This window comes from Homo sapiens, chromosome 1 (genome assembly GCF_000001405.40).
Source record: "Homo sapiens chromosome 1, GRCh38.p14 Primary Assembly".
NCBI lineage: Eukaryota > Metazoa > Chordata > Mammalia > Primates > Hominidae > Homo > Homo sapiens.
Genome location: NC_000001.11, coordinates 158,304,093 through 158,331,822, shown reverse-complemented (window position 1 = coordinate 158,331,822; position 27,730 = coordinate 158,304,093). Strand labels below are relative to the sequence as shown.

Sequence of the window (27,730 nt, the reverse complement as noted above, 5' to 3'; positions counted from 1 at the left end):
ATCCTTCTGGGTTAAAGCAGACTAAAAGCTTAGCAATTGCTTAATATCACCATCTTATCCTATAGATGTGGGAATAAAGGCTAAGGAAGGAGAAATGAAAATGCAGAATCATATGGGGGCTTTTCCAAGGAGGTATGAAGGAAGGTGAGGACAGGGAGAGCGGCTGGAAGTCAGGGGGTAAGAGAAACTCTAAAAATCAGGGCTTGAGGGAAATAAAAGGTGAGGTAAGAGGCTCAGGGCTGTGGGAGGCACATTTTTCTCTGAAAAGCAGTTTGGATGAGGAAGAGATTTGGCAGTTGGAAGAGAGAAGAAGTCACTACAGGGTACTGAGGAAAAGCTTTGCTGAAATTGGAGATCAAATACCAGCTCTGCCAGTAAGAAGTTGCATCTCCCAGTGAAATGCTGCTGCTGCCATTTCAACTGTTAGCTGTTCTCTTTCCTGGTGGTAACAGTGAACATGGTAAGAGTCACTCTGGCAGCTCCCAGCACTGGTGCAGGGGTTTGGATTTTAAAAAGCAAGCAGGGCTTTCCTAGGTGCAATTGGACACTAAGGGTCTGGGTCTTTCTGTCTCCCGCCCTCTTCAACCATTCTGGTGGTTGGGACTAGAACCTGAAGCCTTAAGGCAGTCAAATGTGTCAGACTTCCTGTGTTCTTTAGACTCTAGGTTCTTGTTTTCTAAATCATTTTCATTCCCATTCTTCCTAATTGTCTCCTGCTTCTCTCTTTATCTTCACCATCTTGCTTTTCCACTCTTCACAGCCTTCCAGGGGCCGACCTCCTTTCATGTTATCCAGACCTCGTCCTTTACCAATAGTACCTGGGCACAAACTCAAGGCTCAGGCTGGTTGGATGATTTGCAGATTCATGGCTGGGATAGCGACTCAGGCACTGCCATATTCCTGAAGCCTTGGTCTAAAGGTAACTTTAGTGATAAGGAGGTTGCTGAGTTAGAGGAGATATTCCGAGTCTACATCTTTGGATTCGCTCGAGAAGTACAAGACTTTGCCGGTGATTTCCAGATGAAATGTGAGTCTAGTCCACCGAACTGGGAAGAGTCTCAAGGACTCTCTTTTCTCTCTTTTTTGCAAAGTGTTGCTCTCTCTGATGCTTCTCCCTTCCTTTCTATTTTACCCAAATGCACGCACATGCTTTTCTTGAGTAGTCTCTCACTCCAGCTTCACACCATCACACCTCATATTTCAGATTCTTGCTGCCTCTGCACTCTTCTCTTACTCTCAGACTGTCTTCCACTTTGTAACCAGCTGCTGGTTTGTCTTATGTGAAACTTCTCCTCAAGGGCCCTTACTTCTCCTACCCTGTGCCTGAGTGATCTAACGTGTGGCTTTCTCCCCTAATCCATCTTTTCAATCATCTCCTCCCCGCACCCTCCTCTTGCTGGGAACCTCCACTCACTCTGGAATGCTGCACTCCTGACTGCACCACGCTCTGCCTCACCTCTCCTTTCATACTCACTGTACTCCTTTATCACATACCTTTGTCTTCATGGCATGCACATTTTTCTCAATGCTCTTGTTTCTGAAAATGTCTAAATGTTATCATTAGTTTTTAGCTCATCATCATTTTACACCAAATAACTTTATCCCCACCAAAATCTAAAATCCTAGGTTCTTTTCTCATGCCTTTTTTTCTTATTTGTGTTTAATAACTTGCTCTCTTTTCCCTCTACATAGACCCCTTTGAGATCCAGGGCATAGCAGGCTGTGAGCTACATTCTGGAGGTGCCATAGTAAGCTTCCTGAGGGGAGCTCTAGGAGGATTGGATTTCCTGAGTGTCAAGAATGCTTCATGTGTGCCTTCCCCAGAAGGTGGCAGCAGGGCACAGAAATTCTGTGCACTAATCATACAATATCAAGGTATCATGGAAACTGTGAGAATTCTCCTCTATGAAACCTGCCCCCGATATCTCTTGGGCGTCCTCAATGCAGGAAAAGCAGATCTGCAAAGACAAGGTTAGTCCTGCTGTTATTTCACTTCCCACCACCTCCTCTAAGATCAAGAGTAGGAAGATATCAAAGGATAGGAGCTTAAATAACAAGTTATTTGGTTCCCAAAGGAGTGAATGGGGTCGCTGTCCAAGCTTGTAGGTTTCTGAGTTCATAACCTCTGAACTCGAGTTATAACATGACACTTTTTTTTCTCCTTCCTGCCTTAGTGAAGCCTGAGGCCTGGCTGTCCAGTGGCCCCAGTCCTGGACCTGGCCGTCTGCAGCTTGTGTGCCATGTCTCAGGATTCTACCCAAAGCCCGTGTGGGTGATGTGGATGCGGGGTGAGCAGGAGCAGCAGGGCACTCAGCTAGGGGACATCCTGCCCAATGCTAACTGGACATGGTATCTCCGAGCAACCCTGGATGTGGCAGATGGGGAGGCGGCTGGCCTGTCCTGTCGGGTGAAGCACAGCAGTTTAGAGGGCCAGGACATCATCCTCTACTGGAGTAAGAAATAGCAGGGACCCAGGCTGGAAATGCCAGGAAGTGATCTTCAGGCATAGAGGGAGGCACTGGGGAAGGATAGAGCTTGAGAGATGAAAGAGGGAGAGATTGATTGATTGATTTCCCTGACCCCAATCCCAACAGGAGTAAAAATAGATAATCCAAGTTATCAAAAATGTAGGAATTAAGGACCTGTAAACTGGGTAGAGGGGATCAAAGGATGGATATATGGTGGCCAGGAATATGAGAGAGGAAGTTGGAAATGACCATACATTGGAAGTAGGTGGGCAAAGGAAGGCCAAGGAATTCTGTGTATAGTATCTGAAGTGACATCCTTTTGTCCTCTCTCAATTGCCAGGAAACCCCACCTCCATTGGCTCAATTGTTTTGGCAATAATAGTGCCTTCCTTGCTCCTTTTGCTATGCCTTGCATTATGGTATATGAGGCGCCGGTGAGTTGTGGGTGGTGTTGTTTTTTTTTTTAATATGTCTTTTCTGTTCACCCTTCCACTGTTTTTTACCATTTTATCTATTTAAAAATTGTTTATCCTCAATCCTTTCACCATATCCTTTCCCCAAACTCCCATTCGTTTTATGTGGACTTAAAAAAAATTCTGTTAAAATACACATAACATAAGGTTTACCATCTTTACCATTTTTAAGTGTACAGTTCAGTGGTGTTAAGTGTGTTCACATTGTTGTGCAAGCAATCTTCAAAACTCTTCTGTCTTGCAAGACTGAAACTCTATTCCTATTACGCTGCAAGTTCCCATTTCCCCTCTTCTCCAGGCCCTGGTTAGGACAGCTCTACATTCTGTCTCTATGAATTCTACTATTCTAGGTACCTTATATAAGTGGAATTGTAAATATTTGTCTTTTTGTGACTTATTTCATTTAGCGTAATATCCTCATTGTAGCATATGAAAGGGCTTCCTTCCTTTTTTGAAACTGAACAATATTCCACCATATGCGTATAACACATTTTGTTCATCCATTCGTCTATCTATGGACACTTGGGTTGCTTTCACTTTTAACTATCATGAATAATATTACTATGAGCATGGGTGTACAAACATCTTTTATGTGGAGCTCTTTTGTTCTTCTGTTTTTAACAGGTCATATCAGAATATCCCATGAGCCATCATCATGTCTCCTCTCCCATTCGCAATAAGTACCAAGAAGCCCAAGATATCAGCCCAAAAGTCAATCTTATCATATTTCAAATGATTTTCAAATTTGATGAAATCAGAGTTTTCATGTATTTTAAAATAAATTATTATTTAAACATCAGCAAAAAAGTACTTAAAACTGTAAATTTATTATGAGACTGTACTAACAGTGTGATTCACCCTGATTTTACACACATTAAAATGTTAGAAAAAATGTGTCTCAAAATAAATGAAATATAATACATATGACTTAATGGTGACTCCCTTTGGCTTCCTAATTTAAAACTTTTCTTTTTCTGCTTCTGGTTAAATATCATTTGTCAAAGAAAACCAAATATAATTATGCCAGAATCACTGTATTTGCAGAGATGCAGAGCCTTTTGGATGTAATTTCTTCTCTGTCTCTGCCTGGATGAATTTCTAGCCCTGAAGGCTCAGCTGAGATGTTTCTTCCTCAGGAAGACTTTCCTAGTGCTATAATAAAAGGAACTATGCAGAGATCCACTTTACACTTTACTCACAGCATTGGAGTTATTTTTGTTTTTCCTCCCCTTCTCTTTGTAAGTTCCTTGAGGACAGTGTTCCCTATTTGTAGATCTCTGGCAAGATCTCTTAGCTGCAAATTCATTTTCTCAGTAAAAACTATCTGAGTTGCTGTAACTGCCAAGTTAAGTGTTTTCTTTCAGAGTCATCTACTTTCTTCCATTTTTTTTTCTTTTTAGTTGATATTGTAGATTCTCCTCATCTTGCTAAAATAGTTTCCACTTAGCCAAAAAATATTATGTTTTCTTTATTTCTGTTCCAAACTCCTTTGGAGAAAACCACCCTTGGCTTACTACAGCTATAGTCTAGCTTTTAAAGGGTCATAGTGAGAGGTGAAGCCAGCTGCACTCCCTGGGTTGAGTGGGGACTCCTATAACTTTTCTGTAGCTAGCAAGAGTTTTGTAAAATGCACCAATCAATGCTCTGTAAAAACACACCAATCAGTGCTCTGTAGCTAGCAAGAGGTTTGTAAAATGCACCAATCAGTGCTCTGTAAAATAGACCAATCTGCACTCTGTAAAATGGACCAGCCAGCGCTGGTCCATTAATTAATAATTTTATAGGGGCCAAGCGTGGTGGCTCACGCCTGTAATCCCAGCACTTTGGGAGGCCGAGGCAGGTGGATCACCTGAGGTCAGGAGTTTGAGACCAGGCTGACCAACATGGCAAAAATCTGTCTCTACTAAAAATACAAAAATTAGCCGGGCATGGTGGTGCATGGCTGTAGTCCCAGCTACTTGGAAGGCTGAGGCAGGAGAATCACTTGAACCCAGCAAGTGGAGGTTGCAGTGAGCCAAGATTGTGCCACTGCACTCCAGCCTGGGTGACAGAGCAAGACCCTGTCTCCAAAAATAATAATAATAATAATAATAATTTTATATGTGCAAACATAAAGCAGTATAAAAACTATCCTTTGCTCATTAGACAGTTTTGAAAAAATTATCAACTCATGATTAAAATAAATTTTAGATATTGTATCATTTCATCCTTAACTATTTCAACATGTCTTTCTGTAACATATAGACTTTTTTAACATATAGCCGAAATTACATTATGACATCCCCAAATAAAAGATTTCTTAATATCATTAAATATATAGTTGTTCAGCATTCAAATTTTTTCCAATTGTCTCATGAATTGTTTTTACAGTTTATTCATTAAATTGGAATAAAAATAAGATTCATGCATTAAAATTAGTTGATGTTTCATAAACCGTTTTTAATCTGTAGGATTCTTCTCTCATTTTTATCCTAGAATTTGTTTTTTAAGAAATTTCATCATTCTTCTTGTAAAATCATCCACAGTTTGGATTTTGCTGATTACATAGCTATAATGTCATTTAACATGCCCCTTTGTTCTCTTTATTTACTATATATAAATAGATTTGTGGGCCGGGCATGGTGGCTCACGCCTGTAATCCCAGCACTTTGGGAGGCCGAGGCGGGCGGATCACGAGGTCAGTTGATTGAGACCATCCTGGCTAACACGGTGAAACCCCATCTCTACTAAAACTACAAAAAAAATTAGCCGGGCATGATGGTGGGCACCTGTAGTCCCAGCTACTCAGGGAGGCTGAGGCAGGAGAATGGCATGAACCCGGGAGGCGGAGCTTGCAGTGAGCCGAGATCGCGCCACTGCACTCCAGCTTGGGCAACAGAGCAAGACTCCGTCTCAAGAAAAAATAAAAAATAAATAAATAGATTTGTGATGTGCTCAGATTCAGGTTTTATTATACTATGTATATCTCACAAGAGGCATATAATGCTTAATGGTCTTCATTCATTACTAGATTAATAGGTCTCAACTCTTACACATTTTACATATGTACAAGTTATATTGAAGGTGGCACAACAGTGTGAATGTACTTAATAACACAGAATTGTACACTTAAAAATGGCAAAATGGTAAATCTTATATATGTGTATTTTACCACAATAAAAAAAGATTGAGATCACCAGAAAAGCTTTTCTCTGTGTGATGGAAATTGTGTGTGTGCGTGTGTGTGTGTGTGTGTGTGTGTATAAAATGTATGTCCAGACAGATAGCTAGATATATCTTAGAAGTAAAAACTAATAAACTAATAATTAAAATATTTATAAACTTCTCTACAATTAAACATGGATTACATATCAACAAAAATTACATCTTTATTTTTAAATGTTTTTCAAAAATGTAGTGAGAAGCGTGGCTTTACAGCTGCATCTATTTATTTATTTATTTAGTATTTTGGCAATTCTCTTTAATGTCTGGCTTAATAAGAAAACAGCTACATTTTCATATCTGCTTTGGCATCCAATCTGATGCAATATCATATTCCATGTAGTCTCTGGAGAACAACATAAAATCATGAGAAGAATAGAATTAAAAATTTAACCTGGTAGTATTGTTAGGATTTATTGGGAACTATGGACCCTCAGAAAAGGAGTCAGGGACCTCAAAGTGCCCTGGGTCATATCTTATGAATGAATGGCCTAGGGGTGAAAGAAAAATATATTAAACATTCTTCACTTATTACTTAGAATATTCCTAAAGAGACATTATCTTCAGTAACTATCTTATTACCTTGATGGAATCAAGGTAATAAGATAGTTATTCTTTCTATTTATTTGCCCGTTCTCAAGAGAATGAATGCTTTATATGGCATTCTCCACAAGTGATCAATATTTTTTTGCATAATTGTATACTCATGAATTTCAGCTTATTTGAAATGCTTGTATCTATCATAGTAGTTGTTTTATTGAAGCTCAAATTGTCCTATCTGTGACAATGAGATTCTTTTCAAGTCAATTCTTCCTGAGCTCCATCAATACACCTCTGTCATCAAGACTGTATTACTTCCTGATGTGGCAAAGTTGCTCAAGGTTCTTGCCGAAACTTCTTGCCCTACACTAGAAATTAGCAAGGATCTCTGGTCCTTGTTAGTTGGAAAAAATGTGATACGGAAATTACTGGGTTAATCCTAGTTTCTAGGCCTTCTAAGGGGGAAAACCTAAAAAAAAATTAGCCTGTGGAAATTTTTTTGAGGATAAATATCATCACAAGCTCATATTTACACTTTCACTTCAAATTCAAAACTATGTGTTTAACTCATCAGTCTCACTTCTACTTCTCTTTTCTCCCACACGGAAAATCTTGGTTTCCGATGAATCAATGTAATTATGTATTCATCTAATCCCACTATATATGTTATAGTCAGAATAGAAATACAAACACTATGTCAGAAAGATGGTGGAATAGGAGGTAACCCACTCATATCCCCCAACTCCAAGAATTATCTACTCATCCACAGACAAAAGTCTCTCTGTAGAAGCCTCAGGAATCAGGGAGTAATCTGTGAAAATTCAGTGGAATCAAGGCCCTAGGTAGGCAGCTTTGGGATTGCAGACCAGCACCTGGATAGCAGACCCACCAATGATACTGCAGGTTTCAAACTTGGAGACATCCTTGTTAACAAAAGGCTTGGCTACACTCCAATTTTGTCTTGAGTCTTGAACCAAAAACATCTACCAATGTGTCTAGGAGGAATCATGCACACTAATAACTTGGCAGAAAATCTCTTCTGTCCGTTAAATGTTGGCAGTGAATCTGAAACTTACCCTGTAATTTGGCTCCAGACCCACTCAGCTGTGATCTGAGTTTATTACTGCTCACACAAGGATACCTAGAGAAAGACTTACCCTTATCTCATAGCCAGGCAATCACCCATTTTTCTGAAACTCCTTGGTGGGACCACCAGCCTTTGTCCCAAAGCAGATCCTGAGGGGACCCAGTCTCAGCTCCAGCTCCTCCCACATCTGAGCCAATGAGACAGGCTCCTGGACTTAGGTCCCTGGCCAGCTTCCTCACACAGCTTGGGCACCCTCCTTGGGTCTTCACCACGTCCTTCTACATAAGGGCTCCATGCCAACCTGACAGCCCTCATGAGACTCACAGTGAACCTAGGCTTAGAGTTTCCTCTAGTGCTGAAATGGCTGCAGCAGTCATGCGATCTAACATTAGGTTTGCTTAAATTCTGGAGAGGCCCAGTGAAGAAAAACAGGCACAAACAAAGCCAGACTGTGAAGACTGAAATAAATACCTTTTTTCAGAGCAAATACATCAATGTACATACACAAGCATCAAGAACAACCAGGGAATTTTGACCTCACCAAACAGACAAAACACGATGCCAGTGACAAACCCTAAAGTGATGCAGAAGTATTATCTCTCAAGGAATTCAGAATAGCTTGTTAAGGAAGCTTAGTGAATTTCAGTAAAACACAGAGAAAAGCAGTTCAGAAATTTATCAGAGAAGTTTAACAGGGACTAAAGTAATGAAAAATCTAACAGAAATCCTAGAGCTAAAAGATACAATTAATGAAATAAGAAATGCAATACGAGCATTAACAGCAGAATTAATCAAGCAGAAGAAAAAAAAATCAGTGAAATCTAAGATAGACTATTTGAAATATGGCCAAAGTGGGAAAAAGAATAAAAAAAAAGAAACAAGTGAAGTTCATGGAGTCTATGGGATACTATTGAAAGAGCAAATACTTGGGTCATTGGAGTTCAAGAGGGTACAGAAAAAGACAAGGAAATAGACGGCTTATTCACAGAAATCATAAAAGAAAATTTTACAATCCTGGAAAAAGATGTAAATGCTCAAGTAAAGGAAGGTCAAAGGCCATCAATCATATTCAACACAAATGGAACTACCTCAAGACATACCCTTTGACTCTCGAAATAAAAACAGAGCATTCTAAAAGCAGTAATAGAAAAGAAGCAAATAACATGTAAGGGAATGTTGATATGCCTGGCAGCAGACTTTTCAGCAGAAACCTTGCAGGCCAAAAAGTGTAGGGCAATATATTCAGAATGCTGAAAGAAAAAGAATGCCAACCAAGAATAAAGTAACTGGCAAATATGTCCTTCAGAAATGAAGGAGAGATAAAGGCTCTTCCAGACAAACAAAAGCCAAGTAAATGCAACACCACCAGATCTGTCTTACAAGAAATAACAAAGGAAGTTCTTCAACTTGAAAGAAAAAAAATGCTAATGTGTAACAAGAAAATATCAAAAGGTATAAAACTCACTGGTAAAGGTAAGTATACAGGCCAGGCATGGTAGCTCATGGCTGTAACCCCACCACTTTAGAAAGCTGAGGCAAGTGGATTGACTAAAAAACCCAAGGATTTGAGTTCAGCCTGGGCAACATGGCAAAACCGCATCTTACGAGAAAACACACACACACAAAAAAAAAAAAACAGAAAAAAAATAAATAGCCAGCCATGGTGGCTTGTGTCTGTAGTCCCAGCTATTCAAGAGGCTGAAATAGGATAATTCCTTGAGCCTAGGAGGCAGAGGTTGCAGTGAGCCAAGATTGAGTCACAGCACTCCAGCCTGGGTGATAGAGTAAGACCCTGCCTTTAAATAAATGAATAAATGTAGGAATACAGATAAATTTGGGATATCTAACATTGTAATTATGGTATGTAAACCACTTATAACTTTAGTATGAATACAAAAATACAAAGCTCTTAAAAATGATAACTAAAATACTTTATTAAAAGATAAACCATACAAAAGATGTAAATTGGGACATGAAAATTCAAAATACTTGAGAAGAAAGGAGTTAGAGTGTACAATATTTTTGTTTCCTTTCTTTTCTGATTAAAATTAAGTTCCTATTAGCTTAAAATAACTTGTTATACATGGACACATGGTGGGGAGCAACACACACTGGGGCCTGAGTGTGGTGGATGAGAGGAGGGAGAAGATCAGGAAGAATAGCTAATGGATGCTGGGGTTAATACCTGGGTAATGGGATGATCTGTGCAGTAAACCACCATGGCACACGTTTTCCTATGTAATAAGCCTATACATCCTGCACATGTACCCCTGGACTTAAAATAAAAGTAGGAAATTTAAAATAAAATAAAACAACTTGATGTAAACAAAATATGTATTTCAAAGCCTCATGATAACCACAAAGTAAAAACCTATAATAGATACACTAAAGATAAACAGCAGTGAATCAAAGCATAATGTTGGAGAATATCACTTAACCACAAAAGGATATAGCAAGAGTGGTAGAAAAGAAGGAAGGATCTACAAAATAACTAGGAAAGAAGTAACAAAATGTCAGTAGTACCTCCTTACCTATTGGTAGTTACCTTGAATGTAAATGGATTAAATTTTCCTATTAAACAACATAAAGTAGCTAAATTGATTTTTTTAAAGACTCAACTATATGCTGCCTATAAGAGCCTCACTTTACGCAGAAGAACACAAATAGACTGAAAGTGAAGGGATAGAAAAAGATATTCCATGCAAATGGAGAGCAAAATGGAGCAGAAGTAGCTATACTTATATCAGACATAATAGACTTTAAGCCAAAAAAACTGTAAAAAAAGACAAATATGCTAATTAAAAACTGATACAGGGGTAAATACAGAAAGAGAATATAACAATTATAAATATGCATGTACCCAACAATTGAACATACAAATATATAAAGCAAATGCTAATAGGCCTACAGGGAGATATAGCGTACAATACAACAATAGTATAACACTTGAACATCTTATCTTCAGTGATAAACAGATAATCCAGACAGAATATCAACAAAAAATGAGAGTTAAACTGAACTCCTGACCAAATGAACCTAACAGATGCTTAAAGAACATTCTATCCAGTAGTTGCAGAATATACATTCTTCTCCACAGTACATGGAACATTCTCCAGGATATATCTTATGTTAAGCTGCAATAAAAGTCTTAACATATTAAAAAATTAAAAATCAAAAAATGTTTTTTTCAACAATAATGGTATAGAACTAGAAATCAATAAGAGGAGGAACTTTGGAAACTACAAATACATGGAAATTAGACAACATACAGCTGAACAACCAGTGGTTCAGTGAAAAAAATCAAAAAGAAAATTTCAATATTTCTTGAAAAAATGGAAATGGGAACACAACACACAAAAACCTATGGAGGGGGAGGAGCCAAGATGGCCAAATAGGAAGAGCTCCGGTCTACAGCTCCCAGCCTGAGTGACGCAGAAGATGGGTGATTTCTGCATTTCCATCTGAGGTACCGGGTTCGTCTCACTAGGGAGTGCCAGACAGTGGGTGCAGGTCAGTGGGTGCGCACACCGTGTGCCAGCTGAAGCGGGGTGAGGCATTGCCTCACTCGGGAAGTGCAAGGGGTCAGGGAGTTCCCTTTCCTAGTCAAAGAAAGGGGTGACGGACGGCACCTGGAAAATCGGGTCACTCCCACCCGAATACTGCGCTTTTCCAACGGACTTAAAAAACGGCACACCATGAGATTATATCCCACACCTGCTTCGGAGGGTCCTACGCCCACAGAGTCTAGCTGATTGCTAGCACCGCAGTCTGAGATCAAACTGCAAGGCGGCAGTGAGGCTGAGGCAGGGGCGCCCACCATTGCCCAGGCTTGCTTAGGTAAACAAAGCAGCCAGGAAGCTCGAACTGGGTGGAGCCCACCACAGCTCAAGGAGGCCTGCCTGCCTCTGTAGGCTCCACCTCTGGGGGCAGGGCACAGACAAACAAAAAGCTGTAACCTCTGCAGACTTAAATGTCCCTGTCTGACAGCTTTGAAGAGAGCAGTGGTTCTCCCAGTACGCAGCTGGAGATCTGAGAACGGGCAGACTGCCTCCTCAAGCGGGTCCCTGACCCCTGACTCCCGAGCAGCCTAACTGGGAGGCACCCCCCAGCAGGGGCACACTGACACCTCACACGGCAGGGTACTCCAACAGACCTGCAGCTGAGGGTCCTGTCTGTTAGAAGGAAAACTAACAAACAGAAAGGACATCCACATCAAAAACTCATCTGTACATCACCATCATCAAAGACCAAAATAGATAAAACCACAAAGATGGGGAAAAAACAGAACAGAAAAACTGGAAACTCTAAAAAGCAGAGCGCCTCTCCTCCTCCAAAGGAACGCAGTTCCTCACCAGCAATGGAACAAAGCTGGACAGAGAACGACTTTGACGAGCTGAGAGAAGAAGGCTTCAGACGATCAAATTACTCTGAGCTACAGGAGGACATTCAAACCAAAGGCAAAGAAGTTGAAAACTTGGAAAAAAATTTAGAAGAATGTATAACTAGAATAACCAACACAGAGAAGTGCTTAAAGGAGTGATGGAGCTGACAACCAAGGCTCAAGAACTACGTGAAGAATGCAGAAGCCTCAGGAGCTGATGCGATCAACTGGAAGAAAGGGTATCATTGATGGAAGATGAAATGAATGAAATGAAGTGAGAAGGGAAGTTTAGAGAAAAAAGAATAAAAAGAAATCAACAAAGCCTCCAAGAAATATGGGACTATGTGAAAAGACCAAATCTACGTCTGATTGGTGTACCTGAAAGTGACGGGGAGAATGGAACCAAGTTGGAAAACACTCTGCAGGATATTATCCAGGAGAACTTCCCCAATCTAGCAAGGCAGGCCAACGTTCAGATTCAGGAAATACAGAGAACACCACAAAGATACTCCTCGAGAAGAGCAACTCCAAGACACATAATTGTCAGATTCACCAAAGTTGAAATGAAGGAAAAAATGTTAAGGGCAGCCAGAGAGAAAGGTCGGGTTACCCTCAAAGGGAAGCCCATCAGACTAACAGCGGATCTCTTGGCAGAAACCCTACAAGCCAGAAGAGAGTGGGGGCCAATATTCAACATTCTTAAAGAAAAGAATTTTCAACCCAGAATTAAATATCCAGCCAAACTAAGCTTCATAAGTGAAGGAGAAATAAAATACCTTACAGACAAGCAAATGCTGAAAGATTTTGTCACCAACAGGCCTGCCCTAAAAGAGCTCCTGAAGGAAGCGCTAAACATGGAAAGGAACAACCGGTACAAGCTGCTGCAAAATCATGCCAAAATGTAAAGACCATCAAGACTAGGAAGAAACTGCATCAACTAATGAACAAAATAACCACCTAACATCATAATGACAGGATCAAATTCACACATAACAATATTAACTTTAAATGTAAATGGACTAAATGCTCCAATTAGAAGACACAGACTGGCAAATTGGATAAAGAGTCAAGACCCATCAGTGTGCTGTATTCAGGAAACCCATCTCACGTGCAGAGACACACACAGGCTAAAAATAAAAGGATGGAGGAAGATCTACCAAGCAAATGGAAAACAAAAAAAGGCAGGGATTGCAATCCTAGTCTCTGATAAAACCGACTTTAAACTAATAAAGATCAAAAGAGACAAAGAAGACCATTACAGAATGGTAAAGGGATCAATTCAACAAGAAGAGTTAACTATCCTAAATATATATGCACCCAATACAGGAGCACCCAGATCCATAAAGCAAGTCCTGAGTGACCTACAAAGAGACTTAGACTCCCACACATTAATAATGGGAGACTTTAACACCCCACTGTCAAGATTAGACAGATCAACAAGACAGAAAGTCAACAAGGATACCCAGGAATTGAACTCAGCTCTGCCCCAAGCGGACCTAATAGACATCTACAGAACTCTCCACCCCAAATCAACAGAATATACATTTTTTTCAGCACCACACCACACCTATTCCAAAATTGATCACATAGTTGGCAGTAAAGCTCTCCTCAGCAAATGTAAAGGAACAGAAATTATAACAAACTATCTCTCAGACCACAGTGCAATCAAATTAGAACTCAGAATTAAGAATCTCACTCAAAACCGCACAACTACATGGAAACTGAACAACCTGCTTCTGAATGACTACTGGGTACATAATGAAATGAAGGCAGAAATAAAGATGTTCTTTGAAATGAACAAGAACAAACACACAACATACCAGAATCTCTGGGACGCATTCAAAGCAGTGTGTAGAGGGAAATTTATAGCACTAAATGCCCACAAGAGAAAGCAGGAAACATCCAAAATTGACATCCTAACATCACAGTTAAAAGAACTAGAAAAGCAAGAGCAAACACATTCAAAAGCTAGCAGAAGGCAAGAGATAACTAAAATCAGAGCAGAACTGAAGGAAATAGAGACACAAAAACCCTTCAAAAAATTAATGAATCCAGGAGCTGGTTTTTTGAAAGGATCAACAAAATAGATAGACCACTAGCAAGACTAATAAAGAAAAAAAGAGAGAAGAATCAAATAGACACAATAAAAAAATGATAAAGGGGATATCACCACCGATCCCACGGAAATACAAACTACCATCAGAGAATACTACAAACACCTCTACGCAAATAAACTAGAAAATCAAGAAGAAATGGATAAATTCCTCGACACATACACTCTCCCAAGACTAAACCAGGAAGAAGTTGAATCTCTGAATAGACCAATAACAGGATATGAAATTGTGGCAATAATCAATACCTTACCAACAAAAAAGAGTCCAGGACCAGATGGATTCACAGCCGAATTCTACCAGAGGTACAAGGAGGAACTGGTACCATTCCTTCTGAAACTATTCCAATCAATAGAAAAAGAGGGAATCCTCCCTAACTCATTTTATGAGGCCAGCATCATTCTGATACCAAAGCCGGGCAGAGACACAACCAAAAAAGAGAATTTTAGACCAATCAATATCCTTGATGAACATTGATGCAAAAATCCTCAATAAAATACTGCCAAACCAAATCCAGCAGCACATCAAAAAGCTTATCCACCATGATCAAGTGGGCTTCATCCCTGGGATGCAAGGCTGGTTCAATATACGCAAATCAATAAATGTAATCCAGCATATAAACAGAGCCAAAGACAAAAACCACATGATTATCTCAATAGATGCAGAAAAGACCTTTGACAAAATTCAACAACCCTTCATGCTCAAAACTCTCAATAAATTAGGTATTGATGGGACGTATTTCAAAATAATAAGAGCTATCTATGACAAACCCACAGCCAATATCATACTGAATGGGCAAAAACTGGAAGTATTCACTTTGAAAACTGGCACAAGACAAGGATGCCCTCTCTCACCACTCCTATTCAACATAGTGTTGGAAGTTCTGGCCAGGGCAATTAGGCAGGAGAAGGAAATAAAGGGTATTCAATTAGGAAAAGAGGAAGTCAAATTGTCCCTGTTTGCAGACGACATGATTGTATATCTAGAAAACCCCATTGTCTCAGCCCAAAATCTCCTTAAGCAGATAAGCAACTTCAGCAAAATCTCAGGATACAAAATCAATGTACAAAAATCACAAGCATTCTTATACACCAACAACAGACAAACAGAGAGCCAAATCATGAGTGAAATCCCATTCACAATTGCTTTAAAGAGAATAAAATACCTAGGAATCCAACTTACAAGGGATGTGAAGGACCTCTTCAAGGAGAACTACAAACCACTGCTCAATGAAATAAAAGAGGATAAAAACAAATGGAAGAACATTCCATGCTCATGGGTAGGAAGAATCAATATCATGAAAATGGCCATACTGCCCAAGGTAATTTACAGATTCAATGCCATCCCCATCAAGCTACCAATGCCTTTCTTCACAGAATTGGAAAAAACTATTTTTAGTTCATATGGAACCAAAAAAGAGCCCGCATTGCCAAGTCAATCGTAAGCCAAAAGAACAAAGCTGGAGGCATCACACTACCTGACTTCAAACTATACTACAAGGCTACAGTAACCAAAACAGCATGGTACTGGAACCAAAACAGAGATATAGATCAATGGAACAGAACAGAGCCCTCAAAATTAATGCCACATATCTACAACTATCTGATCTTTGACAAACCTGAGAAAAACCAGCAATGGGGAAAGGATTCCCCATTTAATAAATGGTGCTGGGATAATTGGCTAGCCATATGTAGAAAGCTGAAACTGGATCCCTTCCTTACACCTCATACAAAAATTAATTCAAGATGGATTAAAGACTTAAACGTTAGAGCTAAAACCATAAAAACCCTACAAGAAAACCTAGGCAATACCATTCAGGACATAGGCATGGGCAAGGACTTCATGTCTAAAACACCAAAAGCAATGGCAACAAAAGCCAAAATTGACAAATGGGATCTAATTAAACTAAAGAGCTTCTGCACAGCAAAAGAAACTACCATCAGAGTGAACAGGCAACCTACAAAATGGGAGAAAATTTTTGCAACCTACTCATCTGACAAAGGGCTAATATCGAGAATCTACAATGAACTCAAACAAATTTACAAGAAAAAAACAAACAACCCCATCAAAAAGTGGGCAAAGGACATGAACAGACACTTCTCAAAAGAAGACCTTTATGCAGCCAAAAAACACATTAAAAAATGCTCATCATCACTGGCCATCAGAGAAATGCAAATCAAAACCACAATGAGATACCATCTCACACCAGTTAGAATGGCAATCATTAAAAAGTCAGGAAACAACAGGTGCTGGGGAGGATGTGGAGAAATAGGAACACTTTTACACTGTTGATGGGACTGTAAACTAGTTCAGCCATTGTGGAAGTCAGTGTGGCGATTCCTCAGGGATCTAGAACTAGAAATACCATTTGACCCAGCCATCCCATTACTGAGTATATACCCAAAGGATTATAAATCATGCTGCTATAAAGACACATGCACACGTGTGTTTATTGCGGCATTATTCACAATAGCAAAGACTTGGAACCAACCCAAATGTCCAACAATGATAGACTGGATTAAGAAAATGTGGCATATATACACCATGGAATACTATGCAGCCATAAAAAATGATGAGTTCATGTCCTTTGTAGGGACATGGATGAAATTGGAAATCATCATTCTCAGTAAACTATCGCAAGAACAAAAAACCAAACACCGCATATTCTCACTCATAGGTGGGAATTGAACAAAGAGATCACATGGACACAGGAAGGGGAACATCACACTCTGGGGACTGTTGTGGGGTGGGGGGAGGGGGTAGGGATAGCATTGGGAGATATACCTAATGCTAGATGACGAGTTAGTGGGTGCCGCGCACCAGCATGGCACATGTATACATACGTAACTAACATGCACAATGTGCACATTACCCTAAAACTTAAAGTATAATAATAAAAAAATAAAAAAATAAAAAAAACAAAACAAAACCTATGGAATACAGCAAAAGCATTTCTAAGAGGGAAGTCTACAGCAATAAAGGCTTACATTTAAAAAGTAGAAAGATTTCAGATAACCTCATGTTGCTCAAGGAACTAGAAAAACAAGAACAACATCAAGCCAAAACTAGTAGAAGAGAAGCAACGATAAATGTAAAAACAGAAATAAATTAAATAGAGCCTTAAAAAACAACACAAAAGAATAACAAAGAAGACTTCGTTTTTTCAAAATATAAAACACTTGGCCAGGCACGGTGGCTCACCACTTAATCCCAGCACTTTGGGAGGCCGAGGAGGGTGGATCACTTGTTAAGAGTTCAACACCAGCCTGAGCAACATGGTGAAACCCCATCTCTACTAAAAATACAAAAATTAGCTGATTGTGGTGGCAGGCCCCTGTAATTCCAGCCACTAGGGAGGCTGAATCAGGAGAATCACTTGAACCTGGGAGGCAGAGGTTGCAGTGAGCAGAGATCGTGCCACTGCACTCCAGCCTGGGCAATGGAGCTAGACTCTGTCTCAAAAATCAAAAACAAAACCTGACAAACTTTTAACTAGACAAATTAAGAAAAAAAGAGGAGTCAAAAAAATAAAATCATAGATATAAAAGGAGACTTTACAAATAATATAATATAAATACAAAGGACCATAAGAGACCATTATGAACAACTATATGAAAACAAATTGTAAAACTTAGAAGAAATAGGTAAATGCCTGGACTCATACAACCACAAGATTGAATCATGAAGAAACAGAAAATTCAAACAGGCCAATAATGAGTAACAAGATTGAAACAATAGTTTAAAGTCTCCCATTAAAGAAAGCACAGGAGCTGATGACCTCACTGCTGAATTCTACCAAATATTTTAAAAATAACTAATGCCTGTTCTTCTCAAACTGCCCCCAAAAAAACTGAATGAGAGTAAATTTGTCCAGACTTATTATTTGAGACTAGCATTCATTAGCCCGATATAAAAACTAGATGACACAACAAAAACAAAAAAGAAAATTACAGGACAGAAGTGGTTGCTCATGCCTGTAATCCTAGCACTTTGGGAAGCCAAGGAGGGTGGATCACTTGAGCCCAGGAGTTCAAGACCAGCCTGTCAACATGATGAAACCTTGTCTCTAAAAAAAGTACAAATATTAGCCAAAAATGGTGGTGGGCGCCTGTAGTCCTAGCTACTCAGGAGGCTGAGGTTGGAGGATCACCCAAGCCCAGGAGGTTGAGGCTGTGGTGAGATGTGATTGTGCCACTGCACTCCAGCTTGGGTGACAGAGTGAGACACTTTCTCAAAAAAATAAAATAAAATAGGAAAAACTACAGGCCAATATCCCTAATGAAACGCATGCAAAAATCCTCAAGAAAATGCTAGCAAACTAAATTTAACAGAATACTTAAAAGACCAGCCTTTAAAATCAAGTGGCATTCATTCCAGGGATGCAAGGATGATTCAAAGTATTCAGATTAATAAATGTACTGCATCACATTAATAGAATAAAGGACAAAAGCACGTAATCATTTCAATAGAAACAGAGAAAGCATTTGATAGAATTCAACATCCCACTATGATAAAAGTTATCAATAAATTAGGTATATAAGGAACGTACCTAAACACAATAAAAGCCACATATGAGAAACCCACAGCTAATATAAAACAAAATGGGGAAAAGATGAAAGAAATTTCTCTAAAATCTGGAACTAAGCAAAGATGTCCACTTTCACTACTTCTAGTCAACATTGTACTGGAACTCCTAGCCAGGGTAATTAGGCAAGAGAAAGAAATACGGGGCATACAATTAAAAAGAAGGAAGTCAAATTATCCCTGTTTGTGGAGATCACAACTTTATATACAGAAAATACTAATTACTTCATCAAAAAGCCATGAGCACTAATAAATTCAGTAAAATTTCAGGATATTAAATGCATATACAAAAAGCAGTAATATTTCCTTCACCAACATCAAAATATCTGAAAAATAAATCAAGAAAACAATTCCATGTACAATAGCTACAAAATATAAGATACTTAAGAATAAATGTAACAAAGGAGGTAAAAACTCTACAAAAAAATCTATAAAACACTGATGAAAGAAATTGAAAAGGACAAAAATTATTGGAAAGGTATTTTGTACTAGTTCATTTTCGTCCTGCTAATAAAGACATATCTGAGACTAGATAATTTACAAAAGAAAGAGGTTTATTTGGACTCACAGTTCCACGTAGCTGGGGTGGCCTCACAGTCATGGCAGAAGGTAAAAGGCACTTCTTTCACAGCAGCAGCAAGAGAGAAGAGAGTTTGTGCATGGAAACTACTGTTTTTAAAACTATCATATCTCATGAGACTCATTCACTAACATGAGAACAGCACAGGAAAGACTTGTCCCCATGATTCAATTATCTCCCACTAGGTCCCTCCCACAACATATGGGAATTATGGTGGCTACAAGATGAGATTTGGGTGGGGACACAGGGCCAAATCATATCGTATTTTATGTTCACAGATTGAAATAATTGGCATTGTTAAAATGCCCATACTACCCAAAGCAATCTACAGATTCAATGTAATCTCTATCAAAATACCAATGACATACTTCATAGAAATAGAAAAGATGATTCTAAATTAATATTGAACCATCAAAGACCCCAAAAGCCAAAGTAATCTTGAGCAAAAAGGGCAAATCTGTAGAAATCACACTACCTGATTTCAAAATATACTACAAAACTATAGTAACCAAAACAGCATGGTACTGGTATAAAAACAGATACATAGATCAGCGGAACAGAATATATAACCCAGAAATAAATCCATGCCTTTACAGCCAACCTATTTTTAACAAAAGTGCCAAGACACACATTGGGGACAGAACAGTCTCTTCAATAAATAGTGCTGGGAAAACTGAATATCCATATGCAGAAGAACAAAACTAGAGCCCTATATCTCACCATATACAAAATCAAATGAAGATGGGTTAAAGACTTAAATGTAAGACCCAAAATTGTGAAACTACAAGAAGAAAATATAGGGGAATGCTTCATGTTGGTCTGGGAAAAGATTTTCGATAAGACCTCAAAAGCACTGGTAATACAAAACAAAATAGACAAATGAAATTTTATCTAACTAACAAGCTCTGCACAGCAAAGGAAATAAGCTACAGAATGGTAGAAAATATCTGCAAACTACGTATCCAAAGGGATTAAGATCCAGAATATATAAGGAACTCAAAGAGCTCAATGGCAAAAAAGTAAGTTATTTAAATTTTAAAGGGCAAAAGACCTGATTAGACAACTCTGAAAAGAAGACATACGAATGACCAATAGGTAAATATAATATGCTCAACATGACTAATCAGTAGGGAAATGCAAATCAAAACCACAATGAGATATCACTTCACCCCAGTTTGAATTAGTCTAAGCAGGTAACTAAACAAAAGCAAACAAACAAAAAACACATTAAAAACAAAACAAACAAAAATAGATTTTATTTAAAAAGTCTCAAACTAAAAATATACTACATACCCATTAAAGACCAGATAGATTTTTAAAAATTATTTTTTTCCACCTCTTATTTTAGGTTCGGCAGCTACATTTGAAGGTTTGTTACATGGGTAAATTGCATGTTGTGGGGGCTTGGTGTACAGAATGTTTCGTCACACAGGTAATGAGCATAGTACCCATAGGTAGTTTTTAAGTTCTGTTTTAAGTTCTTTGAGAAATCACCAAACTGCCCTTCACAGTGGCTGAACTAATTTACATTCCCACCAGCAGAGTGTAAGTATTCTCTTTTCTCTGCAACCTTGCTAGAATCTGTTACTTTTTTGACATTTTAATAATAGCCATTCTGACTGGTGTGAGATGGTATCTCATTGTGGTTTTGATTTGCATTTCTCTGATGATTAGTGATGTTGAGAATTTTTAAATATGCTTGTTGGCTATGTATATGTCTTCTTTTGAGAAGTGTCTGTTGATATTCTTTGCCTATTTTTTAAGGAGGTTGTGGTTTTTTGCTTGTTAATTTAAGTTCCTTATAGATGCTGGGTATTAGATCTTTGTCATACACATAGTTTGCAAGTATTTTCTTCCATTCTGTAAGTTGTCTGTTTATTCTGTTGACAATTTTGTTTGCTGTGCAGAAACTCTTTAGTTTAATTAAGTTCCATTTAATTTTTGTTTACATTGCAGTTTCTTTTGAAGTCTTCATCATGAAATCCTTGCCAGGGCCTATGTCCAGAATGGAATTTCACAGGTTTTCTTCCAAGATTTCTGTAGTTTTAGGTTTTACATTTAAGTCTTTAATCCATCTTGAATTAACTTTTGTATGTGGTGAAAGGAAGATGTAAATTTTCAATATTCTGCATATGGCTAGCCAGTTAGCACAACACCATTTATTGAATAGGAAGTCTTCACCCCATTGCTTCTTACTGTTGACATTGTCAAAGATCAGATGGTTGTAAGGTGTGCAGATTTATTTCTGGGTTCTCTAACCTGTTCATTTATCTATGTGTTTGTTTTTCTACTAGTACCATGCTGTTTTGGTTACTGTAGCCTTGTACTATAGTTTGAAGTCAGATAGTGTGGTGCTTCCAGCTTTGTTCTTTTTGCTTAAGATTGCTTTGGGTGTTCAGACTCTTTTTTTTTTATTATTATACGTTAAGTTTTAGGGTATATGTGCACAATGTGCAGGTTAGTTACATATGTATACATGTGCCATGTTGTTGTGCTGCAGCCATTGACTCGTTATTTAATATTAGGTATATCTCCTAATGCTATCCCTCCCCCTTCCCCCCACCCCACAACAGGCCCCGGTATGTGATATTCCCCTTCCTGTGTCCATGTGTTCTCATTGTTCAATTCCCACCGGTGAGTGAGAACATGCAGTGTTTTGTTTTTTGTCCTTGCAATAGTTTGCTGAGAAAGGTGGTTTCCAGTTTCATCCATGTCCCTACAAAGGACATGAACTCATCATTTTTTATGGCTGCATAGTATTCCATGGTGTATATGTGCCACATTTTCTTAATCCAGTCTATCATTGTTAGACATTTGGGTTGGTTCCAAGTCTTTGCTATTGTGAATAGTGCCTCAATAAACATATGTGTGCATGTGTCTTTATAGCAGCATGATTTATAATCCTTTGGGTATATAACCAGTAATGGGATGGCTGGGTCAAATGGTATTTCTAGTTCTAGATCCCTGAGGAATCGCCACACTGACCTCCACAATGGCTGAACTAGTTTACAGTCCCACCAACAGTGTAAAAGTGTTCCTATTTCTCCACATCCTCTCCACACCTCTTGTTTCCTGACCTTTTAATGATCGCCATTCTAAAGGCTGTGAGATGGTATCTCATTGTGGTTTTGATTTGCATTTCTCTGATGGCCAGTGATGATGACCGTTTTTTCATGTGTCCTTTGGCTGCATAAAGGTCTTCTTTTGAGAAGTGTCTGTTCATATCCTTTGCCCACTTTTTGATGGGGTTGTTTGTTTTTTTCTTGTAAATTTGTTTGAGTTCATAGTAGATTCTGGATATTAGCCCTTTGTCAGATGAGTAGGTTGCAAAAGTTTTCTCCCATTCTGTAGGTTGCCTGTTCACTCTGATGGTAGTTTCTTTTGCTGTGCAGAAGCTCTTTAGTTTAATTAGATCCCATTTGTCAATTTTGGCTTTTGTTGCCATTGCTTTTGGTGTTTTAGACATGAAGTCCTTGCCCATGCCTATGTCCTGAATGGTATTGCCTAGGTTTTCTTCTAGGGTTTTTACGGTTTCAGGTCTAACATGTAAGTCTTTAATCCATCTTGAATTGATTTTTGTATAAGGTGTAAGGAAGGGATCCAGTTTCAGCTTTCTACATATGGCTAACCAGTTTTCCCAGCACCATTTATTAAATAGGGAATCCTTTCCCCATTGCTGGTTTTTGTCAGCTTTGTCAAAGATCAGATGGTTATAGATATGTGGCGTTATTTCTGAGGGCTCTGTTCTGTTCCATTGTTCTATATCTCTGTTTTGGTACCAGTACCATGCTGTTTTGGTTACTGTAGCCTTGTAGTATAGTTTGAAGTCAGGTAGTGTGATGCCTCCAGCTTTATTCTTTTGGCTTAGGATTGACTTGGCAATGCGGGCTCTTTTTGGTTCCATATGAACTTTAAAGTAGTTTTTTCCAATTCTGTGAAGAAAGTCATTGGTAACTTGATGGAGATGGCATTGAATCTACAAATTACCTTGGGCAGTATGGCCATTTTCATGATATTGATTCTTCCTACCCATGAGCATGGAATGTTCTTCCATTTGTTTGTATCTTCTTTTATTTCACTGAGCAGTGGTTTGTAGTTCTCCTTGAAGAGGTCCTTCACATCCCTTGTAAGTTGGATTCCTAGGTATTTTATTCTTTTTGAAGCAATTGTGAATGGGAGTTCACTCATGGTTTGGCTCTCTGTCTGTTACTGGTGTGTAAGAATGCTTGTGATTTTTGCACATTGACTTTGTATCCTGAGACTTTGCTGAAGTTGCCTATCAGCTTAAGGAGATTTGGGGCTGAGACGATGGGGTTTTCTAGATATACAATCATGTCATCTGCAAACAGGGACAATTTGACTTCCTCTTTTCCTAATTCAATACCCTTTATTTCCTTCTCCTGCCTAATTGCCCTGGCCAGAACTTCCAACACTATGTTGAATAGGAGTGGTGAGAGAGGGCATCCCTGTCTTGTGCCAGTTTTCCAAGGGAATGCTTCCAGGTTTTGCCCATTCAGTATGATATTGCCTGTGGGTTTGTCATAAATAGCTCTTATTATTTTGAGATACATCCCATCAATACCTAATTTATTGAGAGTTTTTAGCATGAAGGGTTGTTGAATTTTGTCAAAGGACTTTTCAAGATGAAGCCCACTTTATCAGGGTGGATAAGGTTTTTGATATGCTGCTGAATTCGGTTTGCCAGTATTTTATTGAGAATTTCTGCATCGATGTTCGTCAGGGATATTGGTCTAAAATTGTCTTTTTTTGTTATGTCTCTGCCAGGTTTTGGTATCAGGATAATGCTGGCCTCATAAAATGAGTTAGGTAGGATTCCCTCTTTTTCTATTGATTGGAATAATTTCAGAAGGAATGGTACCAGCTCCTCCTTGTACTTCTGGTAGAATTTGGCAGTGAATCCATTGGGTCCTGGACTTTTTTTGATTGGTAAGCTATTAATTATTGCCTCAATTTCAGAGCCTGTTATTGGTCTATTCAGGGATTCAAATTCTTCCTGATTTAGTCTTGGGGGGGTGTACGTGTCGAGGAATTTATCCATTTCTTCTAGACTTTCTAGTTTATTTGCGTAGAGGTATTTATAGTATTATTCTCTGATGGTAGTCTGTATTTCTGTGGGATCAGTGGTGATATCCCCTTTATCATCTTTTATTGCGTCTATTTGATTCTGCTCTCTTTTCTTCTGTATTAGTCTTGCTAGCAGTCTGTCAATTTTGTTGATCTTTTCAAAAAAGCAGCTCCTGGATTCATTGATTTTTTGAAGGGTTTTTGTGTCTCTTATTTCCTTCAGTTCAGCTCTGATCTTAGTTATTTCTTGCCTTCTGCTAGCTTTTGAATGTGTTTGCTCTTGCTTCTCTAGTTCTTTTAATTGTGATGTTATGGTGTCAATTTTAGATCTTTCCTGCTTTCTCTAGTGGGCATTTAGTGCTATAAATTTCCCTCTACACACTGCCTTGAATGTGTCCCAGAGATTCTGGTATGTTGTGTCTTTGTTCTCGTTGGTTTCAAAGAACATCTTTATTTCTGCCTTCATTTCATTATGTACCCAGTAGTCATTCAGGAGCAGGTTGCTCGGTTTCCATGTAGTTGAGCGGCTTTGAGTGAATTTCTTTATGCTGAATCCTAGTTTCATTGCACTGTGGTCTGAGAGACAGTTTGTTATAATTTCTGTTCTTTTACATTTGCTAAGGAGACCTTTACTTCCAACTATGTGGTCAATTTTGGAATAAGTGCGGTGTGGTGCTGAGAAGAATGTCTATTCTGTTGATTTGGGGTGGAGAGTTCTGTAGATGTCTATTAGGTCCACTTGGTGCAGAGCTGAGTTCAGTTCCTGGATATCCTTGTTAACTTTCTGTCTCGTTGACCTGTCTAATGTTGACAGTGGGGTGTTAAAATCTCCCATTATTATTGTGTGGGAGTCTAAGTCTCTTTCTAGGCCTCTAATCACTTGCTTTATGAATCTGGGTGCTCCTGTATTGGGTGGATAAATATTTAGGATAGTTAGCTCTTCTTGCTGAATTGATCCCTTTACCATTATGTAATGGCTTTCTTTGTCTCTTTTGATCTTTGTTGGTTTAAAGTCTGTTTTATCAGAGACTAGGTTTGCAACCACTGCCTTTTTTTGTTTTCCATTTGCTTATTAGGTCTTCCTCCATCCCTTTATTTTGAGCCTATGTGTGTCTCTGCACTTGCTATGGGTTTCCTGAATACAGCACACTGATGGGTCTTGACTCTATCCAATTTGCCAGTATGTGTCTTTTAATTGGAGCATTTAGCCCATTTACATTTAAAGTTAATATTGTTATGTGTGAATTTGATCCTGTCATTATGATGTTAGGTGGTTATTTTGCTCATTAGTTGATGCAGTTTCTTCCTAGCCTCGACAGTCTTTACAATTTGGCATGTTTTTGCAGTGGCTGGTACCACTTGTTCCTTTTCATGTTTAGTGCTTCCTTCGGGAGCTCTTGTAGGGCAGGCCTGGTGATGACAAAATCTCTCAGCATTTGCTTGTCTGTAAACTATTTTATTTCTCCTTCACTTATGAAGCTTAGTTTGGCTACATATGAAATTCTGGTTTGAAAATTCTTTTCTTTAAGAATGTTGAATATTGGCCCCCACTCTCTTCTGGCTTGTAGAGTTTCTGCTGAGAGATCAGCTGTTAGTCTGATGGGCTTCCCTTTGTGGGTAACCCCACCTTTCTCTCTGGCTGCCCTTAACATTTTTTCCTTCATTTCAACTTTGGTGAATCTGACAATTATGTGTCTTGGAGTTGCTCTTCTTGAGGAGTATCTTTGTGGCATTCTCTGTATTTCCTGAGTTTGAATGTTGGCCTGCCTTGCTAGATTGGGGAAGTTCTCCTGGATAATATCCTGCAGAGTGTTTTCCAACTTGGTTCCATTCTCCCTGTCACTTTCAGGTACACCAATCAGACATAGATTTGGTCTTTTCACATAGTCCCATATTTCTTGGAGGCTTTGTTAATTTCTTTTTATTCTTTTTCGTCTAAACTTCTCACTTCGTTTCATTCATTTGATCTTCCATCACTGATACCCTTTCTTCCACTTGATCCCATCGGCTACTGAGGCTTGTTATTCATCATGTAGTTCTCTTGCCTTTGTTTTCAGCTCCATCCGGTCCTTTAAAGACTTCTCTGCATTGCTTATTCTAGTTAGCCATTCATCTAATTTTTTTTCAAGATTTTTAACTTCTTTGCGATGAGTTCGAACTTCCTCTTTTAGCTCGGAGTAGTTTGATCGTCTGATGCCTTCTTCTCTCAACTCGTCAAGGTCATTCTCCATCCTGCTTTGTTCCACTGCTGGTGAGGAGCTGCGTTCCCTTGGAGGAGGAGAGGCACTCTGATTTTTAGAGTTTCCAGTTTTTCTGCTCTGTTTTTTCCCCATCTTTGTGGTTTTATCTACCTTTGGTCTTTGATGATGGTGACATACAGATGGGGTTTTGGTGTGGATGTCCTTACTGTTTGTTAGTTTTCCTTCTAACAGTCAGGACCCTCAGCAGCAGGTCTGTTGGAGTTTGCTGGAGGTCTACTCCAGACCCTGTTTTCCTGGGTATCAGCAGCAGAGGCTGCAGAACAGCAGATATTGGTGAACAGCAAATGTTGCTGCCGATTATTCCTCTGGAAGTTTTGTCTCAGAGGAGTACCCTGCCGTGTGAGGTGTCAGTCTGCCCCTACTGGGAGGTGCCTCCCAGTTAGGCTACTTGGGCATCAGTGACCCACTTGAGGAGTCACTCTGTCCATTCTCAGATCTCCAGCTGCATGCTGGGAGAACCACTACTCTCTTCCAAGCTGTCAGACAGGAACATTTAAGTCTGCAGAGGATTCTGCTGCCTTTGGTTTGGCTGTGCCCTGCCCCCAGACATGGAGTCTACAGAGGCAGGCAGGCCTCCTTGAGCTGCGGTGGGCTACACCCCATTCGAGCTTCCTGGCCTTTGTTTACCTACTCAAGCCTAGGCAATGGTGGGCGCCCCTCCCCCAGCCTCTCTGCTGCCTTGCAGTTTGATCTCAGACTGCTGTGCTAGCAATGAGTGAGGCTCCGTGGGCATAGGACCCTCCAGGCCTGGCATGGGATATAATCTCCTTGTGTGCCCTTTGCTAAGACCATTGGAAAAGCACAGTATTAGGGTGGGAATGACCCGATTTTCCTGGTGCTATCTGTCACCCCTTTCTTTGATTAGGAAAAGGAATTCCCTGACCCCTTGTGCTTCCCAGGTGAGGCGATGCCTCATCCTGCTTTGGCTCTCGCTGGGTGAACTGCACCCACTGTCCTGC

The 27,730-nt window shown here is 39.3% G+C and overlaps 1 protein-coding gene across 5 annotated transcripts in view, besides 1 other annotated feature; it reads left to right on the top strand.

Moving 5' to 3' along the window:
• The first annotated feature begins 291 nt into the window (after positions 1-291).
• CD1B (CD1b molecule) overlaps positions 292-27,730 on the top strand; it is a 46,127-nt gene continuing 18,688 nt past the window's right edge. For 2 of the 5 annotated variants that reach the window (XM_017002785.3, XM_017002784.3), the window contains exons 1-3: positions 292-460; positions 761-1,027; positions 1,693-1,971. In XM_017002785.3, the coding sequence (XP_016858274.1) occupies positions 400-460; positions 761-1,027; positions 1,693-1,971 (607 nt within the window). In that variant the 5' untranslated portion in view covers positions 292-399. Of the gene's footprint in view, positions 461-760; positions 1,028-1,692; positions 1,972-2,174; positions 2,454-2,808; positions 2,903-3,565; positions 3,869-27,730 lie in introns of those variants that run through there. The other 3 variants (XM_011510119.4, NM_001764.3, XM_017002786.3) reach the window with 3 other exon arrangements.
• Positions 20,914-20,963: a silencer, noted in NCBI's record as "silent region_1450". NCBI's record gives its function as "represses an Ori minimal core promoter by ATAC-STARR-seq in GM12878 lymphoblastoid cells {active_cell/tissue: GM12878}" and the evidence as "EXISTENCE:reporter gene assay evidence [ECO:0000049][PMID:35858748]".